General features: G+C 49.6%; 2 protein-coding genes across 45 annotated transcripts in view, besides 2 other annotated features; one reads left to right on the forward strand and one right to left on the reverse strand.

Moving 5' to 3' along the window:
* The window catches only part of MSH2 (mutS homolog 2), a 306764-nt gene that overhangs the window by 95564 nt on the left and 187086 nt on the right, over positions 1-24114 (forward strand). For 32 of the 44 annotated variants that reach the window (NR_176244.1, NR_176248.1, NR_176245.1 and 29 more), the window contains one exon: positions 13673-13790. Coding sequence is in view for 22 of the 44 variants with exons in the window: in NM_001406637.1 (NP_001393566.1) it covers positions 13673-13790 (118 nt within the window). In the remaining 22 variants the exon portion in view is untranslated. Of the gene's footprint in view, positions 1-11407; positions 11694-12192; positions 12322-13672; positions 21407-24114 lie in introns of those variants that run through there. The other 12 variants (NR_176240.1, NM_001406656.1, NM_001406669.1 and 9 more) reach the window with 4 other exon arrangements.
* Positions 5119-5218: an enhancer, noted in NCBI's record as "active region_15734". NCBI's record gives its function as "activates an Ori minimal core promoter by ATAC-STARR-seq in GM12878 lymphoblastoid cells {active_cell/tissue: GM12878}" and the evidence as "EXISTENCE:reporter gene assay evidence [ECO:0000049][PMID:35858748]".
* Positions 10660-24114, reverse strand: part of KCNK12 (potassium two pore domain channel subfamily K member 12) — a 61696-nt gene continuing 48241 nt past the window's right edge. The window contains exon 2 of the mRNA NM_022055.2: positions 10660-23178. Within this exon, the coding sequence (NP_071338.1) occupies positions 22277-23178 (902 nt within the window). The 3' untranslated portion in view covers positions 10660-22276. The remainder of the gene's footprint in view (positions 23179-24114) is intronic.
* Positions 22309-22578: a silencer, noted in NCBI's record as "silent region_11464". NCBI's record gives its function as "represses an Ori minimal core promoter by ATAC-STARR-seq in GM12878 lymphoblastoid cells {active_cell/tissue: GM12878}" and the evidence as "EXISTENCE:reporter gene assay evidence [ECO:0000049][PMID:35858748]".

The raw sequence follows: 24114 nt of genomic DNA on the forward strand, positions 1-24114 counted from the left end.
AAATTTGAGGCTGCAGTGAGCTGTGATCATGCCACTGAACTCCAGCCTGGGTGACAAGAGTGAGACCCTGTCCCAAAACAAACAAAAACAATAAAATAAAATATCCCCCTCCAAAAAAGTGAAGGGTTGACAGTCTGAGGAAAACAGCTTGTGTCTGCACATATATATTTTTTTTTAGGTAGAGTCTCACTCTGTTGCCCAGGCTGGAGGGCAATGGCATGATCTTGGCTCACTGCAACCTTTGCCTCCTGGTTCAAGTGATTCTCCTGCCTCAGCTTCCCAAGTAGCTGGAACTACGGGGTACATGCCACCACACCTGGCTAATTTTTGTATTTTTAGTAGAGATGGGATTTCACCATGTTGGCTAGGCTGGTCTTGAACTCCTGATCTCAAGTGATCCACCCATCTCAGCCTCCCAAAGTGCTGGGGTTACAGGTATGAGCCACCACACTCAGCCATCTGCACATTTCTTTATAGGAGACTTGTGAGGATTCTAGGAGAGAAGGCATGAGGAAAGCTGAGTACAGTGTCCAGCTCCCAGCAAATCCTCAACCAATGTCAGTTGCTGCCACAATGATGACGGCAGTGGTGATGAGGAGGGGAGGTGGGATGGGGAGTTGGGAGTTAATGTGCCCTGTGCTTTGATGAGGGCGGCCAGCGTGTAGCCCAGTGGAACTGCACTCCAGCCTGCAAGCTGCTACATGCCAGGGTGTGTGTGGTTTGTCTGCTCAGAGGGGTGCCTTGTTCTACTTCATGCTAAGGCACTGCAGGAGCTCTCAATGGTCCTGGGAAAAAGAGGATCTCCTTGTACTAAGGTATGAAGAGCTAAGTTCCTTTGCTCATCAAAGGCCAGAAGTGGGGAAATGATTTTAATGTCTTGTAAGAGATTGCCGAATTGGAGCACAATTTGCAACTGATGGTGTAGTGAAATGAGAAAGGTTTTGGAAAATCATTTCCAAGGCCCCAGAAGCTGCTGAGCCTGGATGGCTTTCTAAGTGGGAACTGAAACTGGCCCAGTTGTCCTATAGAACTGATGTTTACTGTTTTTTTGTTTTTATTTTTGTTTTTTTTTTTTTGATAGACTGTAGAAATGGAGCCTCCTGCTCTGAAAGGTTGAAACTTACATTTGTCTTATCTGAGTTCCTTCCTCAGGAAACTGACCCTCAGGCCTGGCAGATGTTATTAGGAACTGAAACTTACCAGATCACCACATCAGGGCAATGAGACACCAGACCCCTCACGCATCATGATTGCCTAAGCAACCATCTGTTGTTTGACCAACTCGTTTTCCTTACCTCTCCCTAATTCCTGTTTTCCCACATGTAGTTACAATTCTTCCCTGCCACATGAACTCCTAAATTCAGCTGGTCCAGCTGATCAATTTGAGACTGATCTCCCATCTCCTTGGCTGCAGCACCCAAATAAAGCCTTCTTCCCTAGCAATGTTCCTTGTCTCAGAGATCAGCTTTCTGTGCGGTGAGCAGCAGGACCTAGACTGAAGCCCTGGTGTTTCGGCAACAGAATCAGCCGCAGGCATCAGAGGCAGTGGGCACCTAACAATATTCTGTTGTTTTGAGCTTGGGGATCCAGGCAGATCCTTTGCCTCCTGAACTCGGCTGAGGGAGGCTCTGCTGAGTGAGGACGGCAAACATCTCTCAGAAGGGAACTAAAATCTATTGCACACTTGGTTTGTGGTCTACACTCTGCATGGATGATCTAATTTCATCTGTACACAACCGGTAATGCTCACAGACAAGAACAAGGAGGCTCAGAAAAGGAAAGTTATTCACTCAAGGACACTGAGTCGATGGAAGGAAGGAGGACTGGCTTCCACTGTGCCTCCTCACCTCCTGGGAGTGGCTCACAGAACAGTCACGATCACTGTCACTCTGGCACTCAGACAAGCTGGTTGTGTAGGCAAGGTGTGTGAAGTCCTCACAGCCAAGTAAGATAATACACAGAGATGTATATATGTATGTATTTATTTATTTATTTTGAGACAGTCTCCTCTGTCATCCAGGCTGGAGTGCAGTGGTGCAGTCATGGCTCACTGCAGCCTCGACCTCCCAGGCCCGAGCAATCCTCCCGCGTCAGCCGGCCAAGTAGCTCGGACTACAGGCACACGCCACCACATCCAGCTAATTTTTTATTTTTCATTTTTAACTTTTTTTTCAGAGATGGAGTCTTGCTCTGTCACCAGGCTAGAGTGCAGTGGTGTGATCTCAGCTCACTGCAACCTCCACCTCCCGGGTTCAAGCAGTTCTCCTGCCTCAGCCTCCCAAGTAGCTGGGACTACAGGCGTGCACCTCCTTGCCTGGCTAATTTTTGTATTTTTAGTAGAGATGGGGTTTCACCGTGTTAGCCAGGCTGGTCTCAAACTCCTGACCTCAGGCAATCCACCTGCCTCAACCTCCCAAAGTGCTGGAATTACAGGCATAAGCCACTGCGCCCGGCCTATTTTTCTATTTTTATTTCTTTTGAGATGGAGTCTTGCTCTGTTGCCCAGGCTGGAGTGCAGTGGCACGATCTCGACTCACTGCCACCTCTGCCTCCTGTGTTCGTGTGATTCTCCTGCCTCAGCCTCCTGAATAGCTGGGCCTACAGGCATGTGCCACCATGCCTGTCTAATTTTTGTATTTTTCGTAGAGACGGGGTTTTGCCATGTTGGCCAGGCTGGTCTCAAACTCCTGGACTCAAGTGATCCTCCTACCTTGACCTCCCAAAGTGCAGGGAGTACAGGTGTGAGCCACTGTGCCCTGCCTACACAGAGATTTAGAAAGCTAAAAGGACTCACCCAAACTCACACACTTGAGAAGTGGCAGAGTTGGGTCTTCTGTCTCTAAATCTACCACACCAAACAACTCAACTGGCAGCATTTTCTCAGCAACATCTTTGCAGGAACCTTGTGGTCAATTCCTCCTGCAGGGGTGAGTGGCAGCCTGCAGAGAGTTCTGTGAGTCAAGTGTTTCAACATATGGATGGATTGTTGTTTTTTACTGTGGCAACAAAAGGTGTGAGATTTTTGTCTTTCATCAGCTACAAACTACACTGTTGGTCAGGCACTTTTACTGGGAGATGTTTTTCCCCCGATTCTTCCTGGGGTGACTTGAAATGTGGGCAGGATCCAGGAGGTGGAGAGAGAGGGGTCTTTGAAGGGGTGGAGGTGGGCTGCTGACACTGAAGAGCTCTCAGCTGATTGACTCACCTGCACATGACTGTGTAGGGAATGTCTGGCCCAAGGAGGCTTCCTGTAATGTATCTATCATCTCTTCATTTAGCTCATTTTTTGGGTTTCAGAATCCCTCGTGGAAGGTCCATTTAAAATCTTGGAAGAAACCTGGGCTCTGCAGATTGTCCTCAGTGGAGCAACTAAGAGCTGAATACAGTAAAATGAAAGGCAAGACAAAGTCATTTCCTGGGTTAGGATAATTAGAATTTGAGTCACCTTCCTGTGTAAAAGGAAACAAACATTCTGATGGTCTTCATCAGGGAAAGAGAAATGTTTTATCAAATAAAGTGTAATCCTGGCAGTTGGCTTCAACTGAGGCTTGAAGAGAGGCCCGGGGTGTTTAATCTCCTGACATTTTCCCTGTACCTCTTTTATGACACTTTTCACTTTTTGCCAAGTTATTTATACCATAGCCTTTATAGTTAATTTTTGCTTCTAGATTATATATTTCCACTTCTGTGGACAACTTGCAGCAGTTTGTGCATAGTATGTATTCAAAAAATGAAAAAATATAAATACATGGATGAATTACTGAATGGATGGATAGGTGAGTGAATGGATGGATGAGTGGATGGATGGGTGGATGAGTGGATGGATGGATAAATGGATGGATGGGTGGATGGATGTATGGATGGATGGATGGATGGATGGATGGATGGATGGATGGATGGATAAATGGATGGATGGATGGATGGATGAGTGGATGGATGGATGGATGAGTGGATGGATGGATGGATGGATGGATGGATGGATGGATGGATAAATGGATGGATGGATGGATGGATGAGTGGATGGGTGGATGGATGGACGGATGAGTGGATGGATGGACGGATGGATGGATGGGCCCTGGTCATGTTCACATAAGAAAGGTTGAACTTGTGGGAGAGGAGGCAAAAAGAGGAAGTGATAGTCACTGAATGTGTGTGCTAGACAGTATGTCTGGCACTTTATAATCATTTTAGTTAATCCTCACAACAATGCAATAAGGTAGATTGCTTGTTTCCCCATTTCAAGATGTTGAAACTGATTCTCAGAGAGGTTAAAGAATTTGCTTAATGGGACCCTCATCTAGATCAGTCTGAATAGAAAGAACTACCAGACTCTTAAAGTCAGCCTAGCACCAAGTAGACACTAAAACATTGATTTTTGTGATGTTGTTTCCCAGAAACATTGAGTCAGAAAGCATGTGGATGCAGATTAAAGTGGAACAGGCTCGGCCATGACTGAGCATCTGCAGGAGGAGCTGAGGAAAGAGCTGGCCTCCTCAAGGCCTGGGTGACTCAACTGTCAGCCTCCAAAGCCCATTCCCCTCCTTCATTGGAGAGGAGTTTGAGGACAGTTGTGGTTGAACCCCCAGCAAAACTATTCCAAAACGCCGTGTGCTGGGGCAGGTGGGGCCTAGGCCAAGGCCATTTGGCCCTGCCTGCTGTGGCCCTTCTCCCCTCCCATGTCTTCCAGCCTTGCCTCCCCCACAGGCTGCAGATGACACCCTTCGCAGTGCTTATTCTGGAGTGTAAGAGCTGAGAGCAGGAGCTACCTGGGGGTTGAGGGGTGGGCAGGCTTTAGAGAAGGGGAGAGAAGAGGCCTCACTGTGGGAGCTGGGGGCTCCCAGGAGCCACATTTGCCAGGCTTGGCTTCAAGCTGACATCACTATCAGAGAAGACAGGTCTGGGGAATGAGAGGGCCCAGGAGTTCAGGAGCCCAAACTGTCATTCAGTTTTGGAAGCCGAATCCCCAGCACAATTGTCCACCTTGCTGGCAGCATCCTGGTTCCCAAAGCCTGTCAGCCCGGGGCTGCGGGCCTCTCTCTCACAAAGCCTTGTCTAGGTGACTTGGGAGGTGAGGCCCCTGTTGGTCAGCCCCGTTCCTGATGGAACAAGCCACCCTAACCGCTCTGTCCTCTCAGGTCAGGCTTCTGACAAGCCACAATGTGGGTGAGCCTTTGTGCACTGCCTGCCCACCTCTCACCAGGAGCCCTCTCTCCCCATGGCCTCAAGGTACCAGTGAGGCTTTTTTCTGTCTCAGCCTGGCCATAAGCAGCCCTCTGCAAGAGTTCCGTTACCAGTCATTTGCATTGTAGTATAAGTGGAAACCACAGAATCGCCTTCCTCCCCAGTTATTTATACTTCAAGTCATATTGTAGAGAGAAAATTTCTGTCAGCAAAAATCTCAGGAATCCTCCTCATTTCTATTTGTATGGCTTTCAATCGTTGACATGATTTTTTCACATATGTCATCTTCTGGGGATGGATTCGTATAACCCTGCTTCACTTGCTTCCCTGTGGGAGGCTCACTTGCTTCTCGACAGGCTCTGGAAGAACTAGGCAGTCTGGTACATGGTTGTGCAAGAACCCTTGAGGGGGCCTTGGAGTGTGTGCTTGGGCCCTGGAACTCATGCCTAGGATGGAGGGCTGAGATTGCCCCTTCCCATCCACCAGGGAGTTGACAAGGGGGAGAAGAAACTTCTTGTGAGCTTGCGATGACTTGTGGCACTTGCATCAGACCTTGGAGTTCCCTGGGGAGAGGCACTCTTGGGTATGACACTGTATAGTGCCACCTGATTGCCATTTGACCCAGTTTGGCCCTGGATCCTTGAGCAAGAGGGCTGGAAAGAAAGACAGGCCCACTTTTTGGGACACTATTAGGGTCTGTAGCATTGGTGGGGAGAGAATTCCCCCAACCCCCAAAAGAGCTGAAAATGAGACACGCGTGGAGGGGTGAAAGTGGAGTGTGGTCAACAGTGTGGTTACAGAGATGTGTGTCGGGGCCACTCCCACTCACCAGGGAGACTCATGAAGCAGAAGGGATGGGGCACAATGTGGCTTCCATAGGCACACCAAGCCACCTGGAGAGCGCATCAGCCCTTTGGGTACCCCCAAGCGGAAGGAGGTTGGGTCTTTGGGTCTGGGAACTTTGGTGCTTGTTCTGGTGGGAAGGGCAGGGAGTCAAGACCAGCTGTGTCTTCCACTGCTCTTCTTGTCCACTTTGGTTACTGGCCTCTGTTGGCATGAACTGGGGAGGCAGAGGCTACCTACAGACGAGGAACTGTGTGGAGTGCGAGTGTATGCAGTAAAGGGTTAGCTTAGCTGACTTGAGGTACTCACACCCATATTCCGAAGAAAAGACTGGCCCTCAGCCTGAGCCTCCGAAATAATCTCTAAGCCCTTAGAATACCCTGCTTTGTATTCAAAGAGTATCTTTGAATGCTGAACTTAGAACCACTCTAGAAAATGTATGCTAACAATGCGATTTATGATGAACACTTGTCTTTGTTCCCCTGGGGCCCTGGGCCACATTGTATCAGTTTGAGCCCTAGAGGGACAGAGAATGAGAAACTAAGATCAGTCATGCAGGTGCTCCAGGCCTATGTGACCAACCACCAATAAAAACCCTGAACATCAAGGCTCAAGTGAGCAATACAGCTGGTCCCAACTTACAGTGGTTCAACTTGTGAGTTTTGCACTCTACAATGGGTTTATTGGGACATAACCCAGTGGAGGAGGATCTGTACTTCATTCACATGTGTTGTCACATCATTACTGGGAGAATTAAGCACTGTCCACGTGAATCCACTGGGAGAGGATAACTGGAAGCTTGCACCTGGCTTCTCCTGGATTCTGCTCTGTACGCCTTTTTCCCTTGTTAATTTTAATCTGTATTCTTTCACTGTAGTAATCTACAACTATAAGCAGAATAGCTTTTCTGAGTTCTGTGAGTCTTTCTAGTGAATCATTGAATCCAAGGTGGTCTTGGGGACCTCTAACAAAAGATGTCTGGACCTGAACTTCCTGTTGTTTCAAAGATCCTATAGCAGGCTGTCTTACCAACTTTCAGCATCAAGAAGCTGGTGGAGAGTGGGTTAGTTTAAAAATGAAACTGGGGAGAGAGATGAAGCCGGGGGAAGATGCCGTGAAATCTCACCTTATAGGCAGCCTCTGATTCACCTGAGGGTTTTTCCTTGAATACTTTCTGGGTACAAGTATTTGAGACAGGTGATGTGCTGGTCACTTTATTCTCAGCTGCTTGTGGCCTAGCCCTAACATGGGCACTGGAAACAATGGGGGTAGGGGTTGATGATGGAGAAATGGGGAGTAAAGGGATTTAAAACTTTGAAAAACTGAGCTGTTTCCATGATTTGTCTCTTTTGATTCTCACAAAACCTTTATGAAATATGTGCTGACATTTTAAGCTCTCACTTATAGTGAGAAAAGCAATCTTCAGCAAGGTGATGACTTGTCCAAGGGAAGACATGGTCGCCCTTGTTCCTTGGGAGATTTTGTGCTCCCAGGGGAAAGCATAAGCCCTCAGGAGCCATGATGAGAACAGCTGTAGAACAGCAAGTGAACAGGTGTGTATCAGTCAGGATAGGCAAGGCTAAGCTGCAGTAATAAATAATCCCCGGATCTCAGTGGCGGAACATTGAGGAGGTTTATTTCTTCTTTATACAAATATGCTGTGGATCAGGATGACTCTCCAGGCAACTGTCTGTGGGACTGTCCAGGTGGGCTTGGATCACCTGGTGTTGGGCCTTGAAGTCGGTAATGGAGAGGACATGTTAGAAGAGAAGGAACTTACAAGCAGTGGGAGTGCAGCGCCCTTTTGTGGATAGGGGTCAAGGCAATGCTTTCCAAGGCTATGACTTGGTGTGGTCGAAAAAGTCAAGCAGTCTTCACTTTTTGCTGTGGTCCCAGCAAATCTGCTTCCAATCCAGGCTTCTCCCATATAAAAAGCCTCCTTTGTGTACAGTGAGTGAACTAGAACAGGGAGGAGATGCCAGTGGAGCTTGGCTTGCTCCTTCTGTGGCCAGCTGGCTTGTTTTACCACTGCCTTTGGGGTACAGTGGCAGCTGTGGCAAATCTCTCTGGAGTTTCTCTAGCGGGAGCGAAGCACCTAAAGCACATGGGTGCAGGAGCAGCCAGGCCTGCACCCATAGACATGGTACAGAGAGGAGCAGGGAAGCCCGCTGCCTGCAGACTTCAGGAGGAGAGAGGTAGGGGTGGTGCAGGGGAGAGGGCCTTAATGCCTTCAGGGAAAGGAGTCAAAGAGGAATACCCAGGAGACAACTAGACTTTAGAATTCTTGGGGCCAGAAACTTGATTCCACCTCTAGTGCTTTCTTTTAGATTTCTTTCTCTCTTTACTTTCTTTCTTTCTTTCTCTTTCTTTCTCTCTCTCTCTCTCTCTCCCTCCCTCCCTCCCTCCCTCCCTCTCTCTCTCTCTCTCTCTCTCTCTCTCTCCCTCCCTCTCTCTCCCTCTCTCTCTCTCTCTCCTTTCTCTCTCTCTCTTCTTAAGACTGGGTCTCGCAGTTGGGCACAGTGGCTCATACCTGTAATCCCAGCACTTTAGGAGGCTGAGGTGGGTACATCACATGAGGCCAGGAGTTCAAGACCAGGCTGGGCAACACTGTGAAACCCATCTCTACTAAAAACACAAAAATTTGCCAGGCATGGTGGCAGATGCCTGTAATCCCAGCTACTCAGGAGGCTGAGGCAGGAGAATCGCTTGAACCTGGCAGGTGGAAGTTGCAGTGAGCCGAGATTGCACTACTGCACTCTAGCCTGGGTAACAGAACAAGACTCTATCTCAAAAAAAAAATAAATAAATAAAATAAAAGGGATACCGGGTCTTGCTCTGTGTCCTAGGCTGGAGTACCATGGTGTGATCATGGCTCACTGCAGCCTCCACCTCCCGGGTTCAAGCAATTCTCCTGTCTCAGCCTCCCAAGTGAGTACCTGGGACCACAGGCATGTGCCACCATGCCTGGCTAATTTTTAAATTTTTTGTAGAGATGAGGTCTTGATACGTTGTCCAGGCTGGTCTTGAACTCCTGGGCCCAAGCAGTCCTCCCACTTTGGCCTCCTGAAGTGCTGGGGGTACAGGCGTGAGCCTCCACCTGGCCAGCCTCCAGTGCTTTTGCATCCTTCCTGTTAACTTGTGTAGGAATAAAACATTGTCACAATAAGATTTTTTTCCTTTTTATTGTTTTGATTTTTTAGCCAATGAGAAGGAAAATTCCTTATTAGGGAGGGCGAGGGTGAGGATATGTGGGGTGGGGAGAAGCGAACGTTCCAAGTTTCGAAAACAGCGACTCTCTCTTGGACTCTCTAGCCAGTAGAAACCTCCCTCCCACTCTCTTGCCCCAAGATCTGGTGCTTAGAAGAGAATCAAGGGAAGTTGGAACCCAGAAGACGGAGACAGATTGAGGGACTGCTGTGAAATGTTGGGGTGTTTGGTGAATAATATTAGAAGTTGGGCTGGCAGAGACCCTGTCACATAAACATTAAATCAACACTGGAGACTGAGCATTTGTTAGAAATGTAAGCGGGAATGGCAGAAAACTTGTTTTTAAGGGAAAGCATGTTACGGCTTATGTTCAGCCTCCATCCTCTGAAGGCAAAAGTTAGCAAAGTTGATGTATGGCGTTGCTTTTTCTGGGAACTTTATCTCGTTTGGTGGGGTTCCCATCTCTGTCTCCCAGGAGCCAAGACTTTCCCCTCCCTCTGCTCCAGCAGAAGCCAGTCTCAGGCAAGGCTCCCTGTACCTCATTTACACTTTGGTGTGAATATGTTATTGTAACCTCTCTCCTGGAGGTGTCTGCATTCCAAGACTGAACTTTTCTGTGAAAGTTACTGTCACTGTGAAAGGCAGTTCAGCCCCCAGGGATTGAAAAAGGAAATCATTTTGGGTAAGGGGACAGTTAGTCCAGATTTTTTCAGTTGCAAGTAAACCTAACTCAGCCAGTAGGCAAAGGGGGAAATTGCTGGTTTGAACTGGTGGGAAGAAAGCTGAGGAAACTCCTACACTTGGGGGAAGAACTGCAGGTGCCTGGCTGCAGGGAACGCAGCGGGGGCTCAGGACCAGGCAGATGCCCTGCCTCTGCTTCCCTTGGCACAGTGGCCTCCTTCTCCCTTCAAGTAGGCAGATGCTGCCTGTGGCAGAGGACAGCAGCTGATTGGCAGCCCAGCAGGGAGGATGTGGTAGACAGGCACTGAGCATCTCTTCTACCCTCCTTCTAGAGGGCTATCCTGTACTGTTGAGGCTAAAAGACTGAAAACCACATTTCCCAGCCTCTCTTGCAGCTACCAATCTGGATGAGAGTTAGATTCTACACATTAGATGCACTTTAGCAAGATTTTCAAAAGCAGATTGGAGAAGGAGCCCATGCTTCTGCTGGTTTTTTTTGCTGGCAAGTGAGGGGTTCTGTTTTTCCTGGAGTGACTTTATCATGGTGGCATCTGAAAAAGGCTATTTCTTGATCAGAGAGACAGCAACCCTCTCAGTGACCTAGTTCTGTGGGTGTGTCTCTCCTGAGAGTTAATCCCAGAGCTCAAACTAGAGCTCAACCCTAGAGTCTCTTCAGGCTTCCCAGGGGTGGGGGTGCATTTAACAGTCCAAGTTAAAGAGAAAATAAAGGCCATTAAAGACCAAACATTGAGCACTGAGTGAAAAAGTTTTATTGCCAAACAGGAAACCTGATTCAGGCCAGGGTCTTGGAAGGTTGTTCAGGATGAGATGGGGGAGGTGAAATGGGGTAGGTCTTTGAAAACCAACAGATTGCAAATTCTCTGTCCCATAGCAGGAAACCACAGTCTCTGATGTCAGCTGGCTGCCAACACGTCAGTTGTATCAGCATTAGCTGGCTGGAGGTGGCCTGCTGTGTGCAGATGGTACCTGGTGCAGGATTGTGGTGTCCAGGTGTCTCTCCTTAGCACATAAGACCCTGTCCGAGGACTGTGGCATGACGTGCTGGAGTCACGATTCTGTCACCCAGTCAGGTCATCAGTGTCAGAGAGCTAGGTGGCCAGGTTGGAGTTGATTGCCAATGATAGGTCTTTTTCTGCTTAAATCAGCTGGACTGGATTCTATTGCATTAACTTGACCCTGACTCATGCCGCCAGGCCTAATTTATAAACCAAGACAAGAAAGGGCTACTCCACCCCCTCCAATTTGTGTAAGGCCAGGGGACTTCCCCCCCACTCCCCAACCTGAGGCATGCACCCTCCCTTAGATCAATGGCTGTTTCTCTGAGAATGCGGAACCGTGATTAATCCAGCCTTGATGGGGAGGCAGCAGGAACTGTAGGCATTCTCACTTCACACCCATCCCAATCCCCTCCCCCTTGCTGTCCTCTTGTACAGAGGACTGAAAGCACAACACTCTCTCCCTCCCTCCCTTATAGGTGGTGACGATCATGTGACTCTCTTCTGGTCAATGAGATGCAGCAGAAAGTCCTAGGGAGGTCTAGGAAAAGTCCTGTTGGGAGAGAGCATTTTTTACCTTCTCCCTGCTACTTCTTGCTACTAGTAACATGGATGTGAGCCTTGGAGGGGTAGCTACCATCTGGCACCTGGGGTGGCAAGCCAACATGGAAAGGATGGCAGAGCGGGAAGGAGGAGCCAGCCTTACCGATGGCATCACTGTCACTGCGCTAGCCCCAGACCACCTGCTCCAGAGTTCTGGTTATGGTAATGAAATAAACCTTGATTTTTATTCCTTAAAACTACCCTTCAATGGGTTTTCTGTTCATTACAGTTGAATGCTTTCATAACTGATACAGGAGGGACCCTGTGATTGGCAGTTCCACTAGACTGCATGGAGATGGGTGGAGTTATCTAAAAGAACAGAGATAGTGTCCCTAGAAGAAGGGGACAGGAAAGCATCCTGGGTACACAAAAGTCAAGGCTCCAGGATCTGCCCTGGGGGCTATCTCAACACCCCTACACTCTCACCGCACGTATTTGGTCAGCTATGAATATGACCAACTCTCGTCGTTTATCTCTATTCAGTGGAACACAGCAGCACTGTGACCTGCCCACGAGAAGAAGGATTTTTAGAACTTATCTTAGGGCAATTTTAGGTAGAGGAGCAGACAAGATGGTGTACAGGAGAAACAGGTCTATTAACCCTGGTATTAATATTAACTGGCTGCCCAGAATAAATGAAGAATAGCTTATTCTTTGCCAGGTTGAAGATAGAAAAGGAATGAAGGGCCGGAGAAGTACAGCTGGGTGAAGCACAGAGCAGCCTAGTGCTTGGCATGGGACTCAGATCTGAAGCAGCCTCTCCGGGACTTCTCTGAGCCTGCCCCTGGTGGTATGACTGTGATATCCCTGCTTCTATAGTTGGCAACCAACATGTCCTAGCTCCTAGACCATAGAGGGCCAGATTCATGTCTCATTGACTGTGTAATCTCTGTGTGGCCCAGTACAGAGCATGCACACCGTAGGTTCTCACATATGTTTGTTGAGTGAATGAATACAATACCAAACGAATGGACAGGACAGAGCTGTGGGCTAGCAGGAAGGATATCTGGCTTTTGCTTGAATTAGCTAGTGAATTGCTGTGTGGCCTCCTTACTGAGCCTCATTTCCCTCTGTCTGCAGAGTCAAGCAAATCTTCCATTTTTTGTTCCCCTGCTGCCAGAGCATGGCAGAGTAAATGTGTGAGTTGAAGGGAGCAACCTCATGAGGTTTTGCTTTGTGTCTTAATTACAGCCATTTGTGGAATTAGGCTTTTAATATAAATATTTGTGTGCCTGCGCCTGCATATATGTATTTGGACCAATGCTCTCATGTGTGCAAATACATGTATTCTAAAGAAATCTGTCCAGAACCCCAGCATCTGTGGTGTCTGTGGTGGGAGGGGCTTCCATATTACAGAGAGATGCCCACAGTGCATGACGTTACCCGCACAGGTGTGACATCACAGGGTAACCAAATGCTTTTGCCCTGGGGGTGGGAGAGGGATGGGTGCACGGTGAACAGCAGGTGGGGGTCTTTCCATAGGGGATGAGGAAGACAAGGCCACTTGGAGGCAGAGGAGACCACAGTGGGGCATGATGGTTGGGGAAGGCCTTTTACTTCTGCCCCTTAAGGATGCCCTGGAATTCAGGCTTTCGGATCCCAGAGCTCTCATTAGAGCAGCCCTGCGTTGTAGACTTTTCTGCAGTGACAGAAATGTTCTATATCTGTGCTATCCAATATGGTAGCCACAAGTTACATGTGGCTATTGAACACTTGAAATGGGGTTAGTGCAATTGACGAGCTGAAAATGTAGTTTAAATTCACTTACATTTAAATAGCTGTGTGTGGCTTGTGGCTGCCTATTGGACTGTGCAGTTCTGGAGAATGGTACTTTACTTGTCCTTGGGGAAGCAGAAACAAATGAAAACGAGGATCTGGAGCTCATGAAGTTTCTCATGGGGTGGGGTATGTGTGTTGAAGCTGCACCTTCAGCAGGAACCTGGCCAGTCCTTAGTGGAGGACATTTCTTTCCATCCTGCATCCAGATGGCTGGTCCTGCTCCTCCCAGTCCATGGAGAAAAAAGAATTGAACAAACTGTCTAAGCTGGGTCAGGTACTCTGCAGATGTTTGCTGAGTATCGTTCTTGATGGAAATCCCCGTGGAACTCCTACATTTTCTCCTCTCTTCTCCTTCCTTTCAGAACCTCAGAGTGACAGAGCCAAAAGACCAGTGCCTCATTTTGCTGACATGGAAAAGGAAACTTCGTGGGGGAAAGAGATCTGCTTGCAGTCGGCCAGAGAGACAGAACCAGGGCAGTGGTGAGCTCTCATGACCTGGTGTCTGTTGCCTTCTGGTTAAGTTTTTCATTTGTAATTCTACAAACATCCCTTCTGTAAACATTTCCCTCAAAATGGAGCAGGAAGCTCTCAAAAATGGACCAGAAAGGGGTCAGGAATATAACTTTCTCTGCCCAGATTCCAGGACTTACAGTGAGAAAGCGCCTTCTGGGAACTTCACAATGGCTAAAGTGTGCTAATGGGATGATGTGCCCTTGTACACCCACTGCCTCTGAACTCTGCTCTGCATTGCTGAGCAAACTACATTTCCCAGAACTCCTTGTTGGATTCCTTCCAAACAGGTTTACCACTGGGAGAGCCTGTTGGTTGGGGAGGGCAGGAAGAGGGAGGAAAGAGGAAGGGACTCACTTCCTGTTTCCAGCTGAAGTCTAAATCAATCCACTATCAACAGGTAGCTATCATACTACCCTCATTGTCACCCCTCAGAGGTCCCACTGCAGCTGCATAATGTCCCCTCAGTGGCCTGAACATGAGATGAACAACACTCTTCTTGGGAGTACCAGCCTTGCTTGGTTCATGGCCACTTTTCCTGATTATCTTGCAGCTATATTAGGTCATGTGACAAAGTTCTGGCCAGTGGCAAGGGAACACAAGTGATAGGTACAGATAGAAGTGTCTGATACTACATAGATTATGCTTGCACTCACTCTTAAGAGAGAGACATGAACTTTTACCAACGGAAGCCAGTATTATTTTGAACCTCTGTTAGAGTGGCTTGAATCTGTATCCTAACTTGTATCCCTAATGTGTGACCCATGAAAATTAGCCAGGCAGCACCAGTTCCAAAGAAGCTCACACTCCCCTGCGGCTGCTTCTGCCAAGGTCACTGATATTTCCCTTTGCTAAATCTTGTGGGTGTTTTCTTCAGTCCTTGTCTTAATCACTCAGTGGCACTTGGCACTTATTCCTTCTTGAAACCCTTGTTTCCCTTGGCTTTGTGGCATCCTGTGCTCTTGGTTTTCTCCCATATCTCTGACCCTCTTTCCTTAGTCTTTTTTCTTCTTCCTCCTGTCCCTTAAATGCTGGTTGTGATCCTCTTTTTATCTCATTCTACACACTCACAGCCTGAGTAATTCACACCATCTTGATGCTGAGAACTTCCAAAATGTTGGTCTAGCCTGGGTCATTGTTATGAGCTCTAGACTCACAAGGCCAATTGCTTGGTGGGAACCCCTCCCCCATGGTTATCTCATGGGTCCCTGAAGTCCAACTTCTCCTTCATTGAACTCATCACCTCTTCTGTTCCTCCTCCTGGGTTCCCAGGCTCAGTGGTGGCACCACTGTCTACCTGGCTGCTTAGCCTGAGACCTGGCTCCGTCCCAATTCCTCTCTCTCAGTCTTATCATCCCCATCCAGGCAAATCATTGATTCTGTGGACCTACTCTTTCGGGTGTCCCTCAAATCTCTCCACGTCTCTGTGTTCTCACTAGCACTACCTTGGTCCACCCTGCCATCTGCTTTCCTCCTCCACTCCTGCATTCTGAGTCATTTTCGGCAGCACACGCATCCTTAAAACCCCTCCACTGGCTTGCCAGTGTCCTCAGGATTAGGCGAAAAGTCTTTGCTTTGTTTTACAAGGCCCTTCGCTATCTGGCCCCCTCATTACCTCCCTTGCTCTGCATGCTCCAGTCCTGCAGAACTACACACAGTTCCCCCAACAAGGCCCTGCTCTGTTCTTCCCACACACTGCTCCTCTGCCTGGGCCACTCTTCCTGCTCCTTGTCAGCAGGCTTGCTGCTCTCAGGCTCAGCATGGACAGCTGCTTCTGAGAGCCTTCTCTGCCTACCCAGGCTGGGTGGCTGCCTCTCTTTGGTGTGCCCATGGCAGCCCAGAATGCCTGGTGGACAGGGAGCCCTCAGCAGGCCGTACTGCAGCGCCCTGCCCCCGTCAGCCTCCAGGAGCCTGGAGTCCAGGGACATCAAGGGCGGTCCTGTCTTTCTCACCCTTGTCTCTCCAGCCCCTAACACAGGGGATGCCTGACCCCAAACTAGACGAGTTACTTGACCTCTCTGACCCAAGACAAAATGGGAGGAAAGTGCCAAATTTCCAAGATTGGCCAGGGGATTAAATAAGATAAATATGCAAGTCTCTTATCTGGGGGTCTGGCTTGGTAAATATAAAGTTCTTTTTTCTTTTCTTCCTTTTTCTTTTTTTTTTTTCTTTCTTTTTGAGACAGGGTCTTACTCTGTCACCAAGGCTGGAGTGCAGTGGCATGATCATGGCTCAATGAAACATCGACTTCCTGGGCTCAGGCGATCCTCCCACCTCAGCCCCCTGAGTCTCTTGGACTCCAGGCGTGCACCACCATGACTGGCTAATTTTTTGTATTTTTAGTAAAGACAGGGTTTCGACATGTTGCCTAGGCTGGTCTCGAACTCCTAGGCTAAAGTGATCCACTTGTCTCAGCCTCCCAAAGTGCTGGGATTATAGACATGAGCCACCATGCCCAGCTAAAAGTTCCTTTTTAAAATCTGCTTGTTAGATACACTCATAGAAAGGTAACTGGCCACAGAAGGGAGAGGAATGGCAGTCCATCCAGGGATCACTGGAGTGTCATATGAAATGTTATAGGAATCACAGGCCTTAGAACTTGAAAGGAACCCAAGGATCATCTAGGCTACTTTATGCAGGTAAAACAGCCACCTGTGCCCATCACATAGCTGGGGCACAGCTGGAGACCCCAACAGAGAGGAGAGCTGATGGGTGACGAGAAATCAGGCCTCTCCGCCACGGCAGCCTAGCTAATGGGTCTTGGCTGGAAGCTAACAGGAAGGCCTCTTTCCAGAAACACTGTAAGCCAGTGTTTCTCAGATTGCTGGGTGTAATTCATAGGCAGATCATGAAATCAGTTTAATAGCTTTGACCAGCATTAACCTATTTATGCCTAGCGTTCCCTTATTGGAACACTAAGTCTGTGAGAGTTATTTACATCCTACTGCTTAAGGTCATCGCCAAAATCTGATTTTTTACACAAAAAATTTGCAACCTCCAGCATAAATGGGTTAAAACAAGACAAAACAAAACAATACCAGAATGGAAAATAGTGCATGATCTGTACAGTATAGTTGTAGAAAACTTCTTGTTTTATCATTTGATGTCATGAAAGTCCCTGCTGTAGATAAAAGATGGAGCTTGTGCTTCTGAGTGGTCATGCTCAACAGGGTGGGGAGCCCAGGGGAGTGGGGAGTGATCGTATAGACAGAGGTGGGTGGGGCCAGTGTGAGCCTGATGGTCAATTACTTCTCATTTCTAGGGAAAATTGAAGGAAAAGAAGGAGGGGGATGTGGAGGGGAGAGAAGGCCTCAGTAGAGTTTGCACTATTATTAGGGCAAGTAAGCTGCTTCTGAAAAGAAGGGGTTTGCAAAGCCAACCCAGGCAAAAGCAATCTGCTGGAAGAACTTCATCCCCAGCTGACACTGTGGGAAGGACCCCATGCAGAAGCAATAGGGCAGCCTGGTCCCATATCCTCATGAAATGCCTCTTATAATTGTGACATCTTGCAATTGTGGAGGACTTTACACTTTTCGGAGTTCCTAGCCCCTCACTTATTTCTCGTAAGACCGCTGGGAGGTGGGGGGATGGTATCATCATCCCACTTTAGAGATGAGGAAACAGGATCAGAGTGAGCTAAATGACTGCCAGATCCAAAACTAGAATTCAGACCTCCTAGTTTCTAAGTGGACGCTCTTTCTACACCACCATAATGTGAGTGTTCTGTGTTTACAGGGTGTATTCAAGTCCATGACTGCCCATTAGAATCCCCCCAAAAAATTCCAGGACTGGCCTGAGTTGCTCCTTAGACCAATGAAATCAGACTCCTGGGAGTACGGCCCGGGCCTCGGGATCCTTTAAAGCTCCATTTGGAGAGCCTCGGGCACAGCCAGGTTGGATCCATCTCCCAGTCCCCCAGCCTTGGCTCAGCCTGGCCAAGCTGCCCAGGAGGTCCCTTGGTGCCCTGGGCTCTGTTTCACTGTTGTTTTGTAGAGCAACTTCCCAGTGATGCTGCCACTGGGCCCCATCCTAACAGTGAAGTCCCCCGGGCCCTCCTGAGAGGAGGTGTGAACTGGAAGATGGGGAGGCAGGCGGCTCTGACAGACAGAAAGCAAACAGCTCAGAGGGGTGGCAGGCTGCATTTTATTCATCGTTAATTTAAACACCCTTCAAGTCCTCTCTTGGAATGCTGCTCAGAAAAATAGATGTATTGTTTGAGAAACCCTGCAGGCTTGTCCCGCATGCTCTAGCCCCCTCCTGAGAGAACAGATAGCATAAAAAATGATTTGTAAAGCAAGGGGGAGCTTCCTTAGGGAAGAAGGGGAAGGGGAAGAGGGTTTGGGGCCAGGTCCGAGTGCAGAAATCCTCAATGCATGAGACTAGCGTGGAAGGTGTAGCAATTGTGCTCTGGGGTGCCTGAAAGTGCCAGAGCTGCTTCAGGGGCAAGAGTCCAGGCCCCAAGTCCATGCTGATGAGCCCACCCTGGGGGTCAGGAATGGCCTCAGCAGGCCCTCCCTCCCTCCCTCTCCACCCTACAAAGTGAGGAGCCTTGAGTCACCACCAGCACATTATACAACAATACAAGAACCCTGCAACAGATAAAGCCCCAGCGCCTCTTCTGGACTCAGATGCCCTAGGCTGGCTGTCTGGCTGTGCTTTCCAGACAGTGTGTATGTGGAATTGTGCTTTTTGTTTTTTAAGAATGTAAAAAGTTACAGTAAGATCGAACCACAGGGCCCGTCGCTCCTATGGTCTCTGCCTGACTGGGCTGCCGTCTGCCTCAGTTCCCCAGAAGCTTCTCCTTTGGCCATGAGGGCTCAGTCATCCCTCACCCCAGAGTCCACAGGAAGAGGGGGTCTGCTGGGAGGCCTGTCTGAAGGACGGAGGATCCTGGGTCAATTTAGCAGCTATTTTCCAGGGTTTGGCTTGGGTTTGGATGCTGGCTTCTGTGTGAAACCTGAATACATGCAAATTGTACATAAAACTCCCCCAAGGCAGAGAGGGATTTTCCAGGCCCTGGTACATCTCTAGAGAGTTAAAAATGGGAAATCTTTCTTCTTAAAGTGGCCCAGACTGAGACTTTTCCTTGGGGAAAAGGGTTAGTAGCTCTTTGTAAGGCTGGTGTGTATGTGTGTGTGTATATATATATACATATATGCATGATGCTGTGCAAATGCCCAGGGCTGTCTGGCATTTTCCACAAAATGAGAGCCTGAGATTGCCTAAGCCTTCTGATGCCTTCTCCAGGCCTGGAGGCACTGCTTCATTCAGAGGACACAAAGGCCTGACCACCTGGCTTTAGCAAGCTAGGACACCCAGGGTGGCTTCTTTACCTTTCTCCTCAGCTCTGAGAAGGCTGCTAGCCAAGACTCTGGATTCTCTGTGGCCACAGTCATATGGTGAGGGCCTCTTGGAGTTCATTCAAACTTTAAGGGAGCCCCACAGCACCGGCATGATGGGTAAGTCCAGGCCTAAGGTTAGGAAGCAAATCCTGGAGCATGAGGAAATTGTAGGCTACAGTGAGCTACCAGTGGTGTGCAAACTGGAGACCCCCAAGACAGTGAGAGAGGCCACAGCATCTGAGGGAATGGAGCTCTTTCTTGGCCTGAGGTTCAGAAGAACCTGCACCAAAGAAAGGCATCCCTATCAATGTCACTGTTCCTGAAATGATGGGAGAACCACATCCCTGCTTCAGGGAAGCAGTCCCTGTCGTCTGGGGCGCTGAGCCCTTTGGCCTGAGATGAAGGATGATGGTGTGATGTATCATGGCAGTGTGACTGAGACTGGATTGGGGGATGGGGACAGGGGAACATAGGCAAAAATACACATGTGCCACTGGATCCTGAGCTGCCATTGTACCTTGGAGGACTGGCGTTTCTCTGGGAAGTTGGGAGGTGGGAAGAGGAAGGGTCTCATTTTCCTGCCCCTTGAAACCATGCTTACCATTCCTTTAGAAGATTGCTCAAGCTGCCTCCAATTGCCTCTTTCCAAAACCAAAGCATAGGAAAACAAGTAAAAACAGCTGAGGCTGCAGCATAAGCAACTTAGGATAGAGTCTAGGAAGCACCGCCAACAGAGAAGACTGCCAAGAAACATTTTGAGTTTTTCTTCTCTGGAGGTGGGTCCTGGTTCCTCCCATGGAGACCACGATTCTGTGTAGTCCTGCACGCTGGGCGGGGGATTGCCTGGAGGTTTCTTTAGACCTGTCTAGCTCACACAGTCTTGATGCCTGGGTTTTAGGCTGCTGTACTGTTGCTGGGGCTCACTTCCTGTGGGTAGGCTGTTATTTTGCCCGCAGATCAAGTCCTCACTGTCTAGATGCCTCTATCATGGGGATCTCTTCTTCCCTCTCTGGATGGCTCTGATCCCCAAGTTATTTCCTGTTGCCTAGGTAACACCTCTAATTGGATGCCTTTTAATCGTTCCCTTTTTTAAAGGGATAAATGTGGATTTTATTTCCAGGTCCTGTCAGAGGGCCCTGCCCTAGAGAACACGTGCGCCCCTGCGTGGGCAATCCCTTCACTGTGACCGCAACCATGGGTTGGATGGGGGGCACTCACTGGGCTGGCCTGACAGTCACAGTGAATCCTGAAAGCATGGTTTTCACAGGAACCCACCTTCAGGATTTAGCAAGACTGACGTCTCTCCTGGCCAGCGCTGCTTCACTGGCTTCACCCCAGATTAGGGCCTGTGTTTAAAAACCAATCCCAACTCAAATCAGAAATTACCCAAAATAGCTGGAGAGTCACTGAGATCTCAGGTAAGCTTTCCCTTCCTGCCATGAACTAGAAGGGGAAAGAAGAGTTTGACATTCAAGTTTGACTCTAATGCTGGGTGCGTGAGCGCATGCGTGCATGTTTGTGTGTGTGTGTGTTCCACGCACATTTGCCAGGGAGAGAGATTTCACAGCATGGCTCCAGCTGGAGGCGGTGAGGCGGTGCTTTTCTAAGACTTCCTATCAGAAGCTGTGCATACTGGTGGGTCACGCCGTGCCTGTATAAACTCTGGCACCTGTCCTTGCCCTCATCATATATGAGAAAAATGGGCAGAGAGAGTGTTCGTTTACACCCCCAGACCACTATCCTTTCAATGAAGCCTGGGTATCTGGCCTTCCTCCAGGTCAGGGACCCCCTATGCTGCAGAAGGCAAGTCTGGGAGAATCTGTCCCTCAGCCCGAGAGCAAAACTGTAATCCTAACATTACTTCCATCCACCAGTTTCACCAGCTACCTCCCTCCTGCCTTCCTCTGCCTCCAATAGGCTGTGCATGGAGAAGACAAATCCTCTTGATAAACAATATTTAGAAAGGGATTCTATCTTTCCTGACCCCAAACACATCATGGCCTCTGGAGCCAAATACCCTGACATTTGCAAGATGGCTTCTTTTGGGTTCCTGGTGCTGCAGGCCCTGGTTCCCAAGGACGCAGCTGGCAGAGGTGCCTCCTTCAGAGGAGGAGGAGGAGAAGCTGGAGGGCTGCGCCCGGCAACCCCATGATCTCTTAAAGGGGGAAAAGTTGAACTGATCAACAGTAGTTAAGAAAAAAAAAATCCACACCAACAAATAAATATCTTGTCTGAGAAGACTCAGATATTCCTGGTTAATATTGAAAAGCACTGCTGTGGATGAGCTTGTGAAAGAAAGGACGGTTGGGGGATTCAAGATCTGCCGATCCGAGCCTGGAGATCAGCCAGCTAAAAGCCCAGCAGGGCTCCTGCAGCCTCACCGCTCCCCTCCTCACAGGTGCCCTGGACCGCCCACCATTAGAAGTAGCTGCCCTGTGCTCTGTGCTAAATGGACTAACTCTGAGCTGAGAAAGGCCAGCTAAGCCCCTCACCACTGCAATTTCCAAATCTGGGGGAAATGCCACAGTCCGCAAGTTGGTGCTATGTTTCATCTCATTGCATAATACTACACCATTCTCTGTGTGTAGTGGCTGTTCTATATATATACATCGGGAGGCAACATATGGCTGTCCCAACCCCCACCTGTCAAAACTGTGACTATATCACTTCTGACGACCAGAAGGAAGCTGCTAGGCTGGGCCAGGATTCTAAATGCTGAGGAGGTAATTCAGAGCCACGAAAAGTTGCACCATATGCTTTGGGGTTGCCGGCTGCTTCTGTGCATGGGGACGGGGTTTAGTGCCAGTCTGCAAAACCCTCCTCGCTGCGGTATGCCCTGGGTGTGGGCCTGGGGGGCCACGTTTTCTCTCCCTGAAGGAGAATCTGCTGGGGGCCACGGTTCTCCAAGAGGGGACTCACAAGGAACACAGGCGTCCCCAAAACCTGCCCTTGATAACATCAGGCCTGGCCAAATAGTATTTCTTTAAAAAAATTTTTTTTGTTTCATTTTATTGGATAAAGATTAAGAAAGCGCCAGCAGTGACTGAGAGAAGCAAACCACGCCCGGCGGCCCCGCGGCCTGGAGAGGGTCCCCGGCGCGGGCGGACGGGCGGTCTACCTGGAGGCGCTGGTCTCGGCCAGCCGGTTGTTCATGATGCCCAGCGCGCCCACGCCGCCCGAGAAGCCGTTCTGGCGCGTGTTGACGCACACGCTGCGCGGGTAGCCGTTGGCCGTCTCCGACAGCTGCTTCTGCAGCAGCGCCAGCGACACCTTGTTGGAGGCCGTGAGGTCGCGCATGGAGATGAGCTCGCCCGAGAGGCGGCGGCCCTCGGCGTCGCTGTCGCGGGCCGCGGGGTCGGCACCGAGCGCGGCCAGGCGGCGGCGCAGCCGGGAGCCTGGGGTGATGGCATTGCGCCGGGCCAGGGGCGCGCCAGGAGCCGGGCAGCAGCGCGCGCAGCAGCGGCAGCTCAGCTTGCGCAGCATCCAGTTGAGCACCTGCTTGATGAGGATGGAGATGACGTTGAAGAGCGAGTAAATGCAGCACACGCCGAGCAGGATGAAGAGGAAGTTGCCCAGGCGGTAGAGCCCCTGGTTCCGGTAGGCGGCGTGCTGGCTGCTCACCAGGTCCCCGAAGCCGATGGTGCTGAAGGTGACGAAGCAGAAGTAGAGCGAGTCCACGTAGTCCCAGCCCTCCACGCTGGTGTACATGGCCGAGGCGCAGCAGGACAGCAGCACGGCGAACAGGCCCAGGATGAGCAGCACGTGGTACACCGAGGGCTTCCAGCCCGCCAGGCTGTCGGCCTCCGAGAGCGCGGAGCCGCGGCGGAAGGTGGCGGGCAGCAGGCCGCTGCGGCGCAGCTGGCGCTCCCGGCAGGCGCGCATGATGAAGGCCAGCAGCGAGATGATGCGCTCCAGGAAGAGGTTGAAGAACAGGATGGTCCCAGCGCAGCCGAACAGCCCGTAGGCGATGAGGAAGGCCTTCCCGCCCACCGTCGCGGGGGTGGTCATGCCGAAACCTGTGGAGACAGGGCAGGGTCAGCGCGGTCCTGGCCGCGCAGGTGGTCCTCACTGGGCGAGGGTGGGGGGTGTGGGGGCGGGGGCATGCAGGTGCTTGCGCGGCTCCTATCTCGAGTGGCACCACTCAGGTGGAGGAAGAACAGCACTTAGTCATTTATCTCCCTTGGTGGCACTTAATAGGTTTCCTGATCTTGGCAGCCCCTAAACTGATGGAGGAGACATGGCCCTTCATCTTGGGGACCTATAAACCCAAGTGGTTGGGACAGGTAGTCACTAGGAAGGACCCATCATGACACAAAAAATAGAAACCACTGCTGCACAGGTGCAAACCACTGAGCTACCCACAAAGCCAACAAGGGACACCTGCTCTCCCACTCCTCCAAATTTTTTTTTAAAAACTGTCATCTTTATTTTAGTTCATAAATACATTAATATACTAGTCTAGGTGAGTTTTGTTGGGTGAATTACAAATATTTACATTAGAAATCAAAACCAACATAGATCTCTTCAAAGATATCTAGCTTCTTATGTGCTTGTGCACTTTTTATACCAGTCTTGTTACTTGGAAACTCCACTGCCTACTTGAGAATGGTGAAAAAAGCCAAGTAATCTTAGTGCTGTGACTAATTTTCACTTTACAGGCACTTCGAAAAGGCCTTTGGTCAAACGATCATATTTTCTTTTTTGGGGGGATAGGTTCTTTGTCACCCAGGCTGGATGCAGTGGTACAATCATAGCTCACTGCAGCTTTAAACTCCTGGGCTCAAGTGATCCTTCCACCTCAGCCTCCCAAGTGATAGGACTGCAGGTGTATGCCACCATGTCCAGTGAATTCTTTGTTATTTTTTCTAATGGCAGAGAAAGGACCATATTTTCTTAGTCTGCCAACATTTCATGCCTCTGGAATTGGGCCTAAGGCCAAGTGGGTAGTCCGT

This window comes from Homo sapiens, chromosome 2 (assembly GCF_000001405.40).
Source record: "Homo sapiens chromosome 2, GRCh38.p14 Primary Assembly".
NCBI classification, from domain to species: Eukaryota; Metazoa; Chordata; class Mammalia; order Primates; family Hominidae; genus Homo; species Homo sapiens.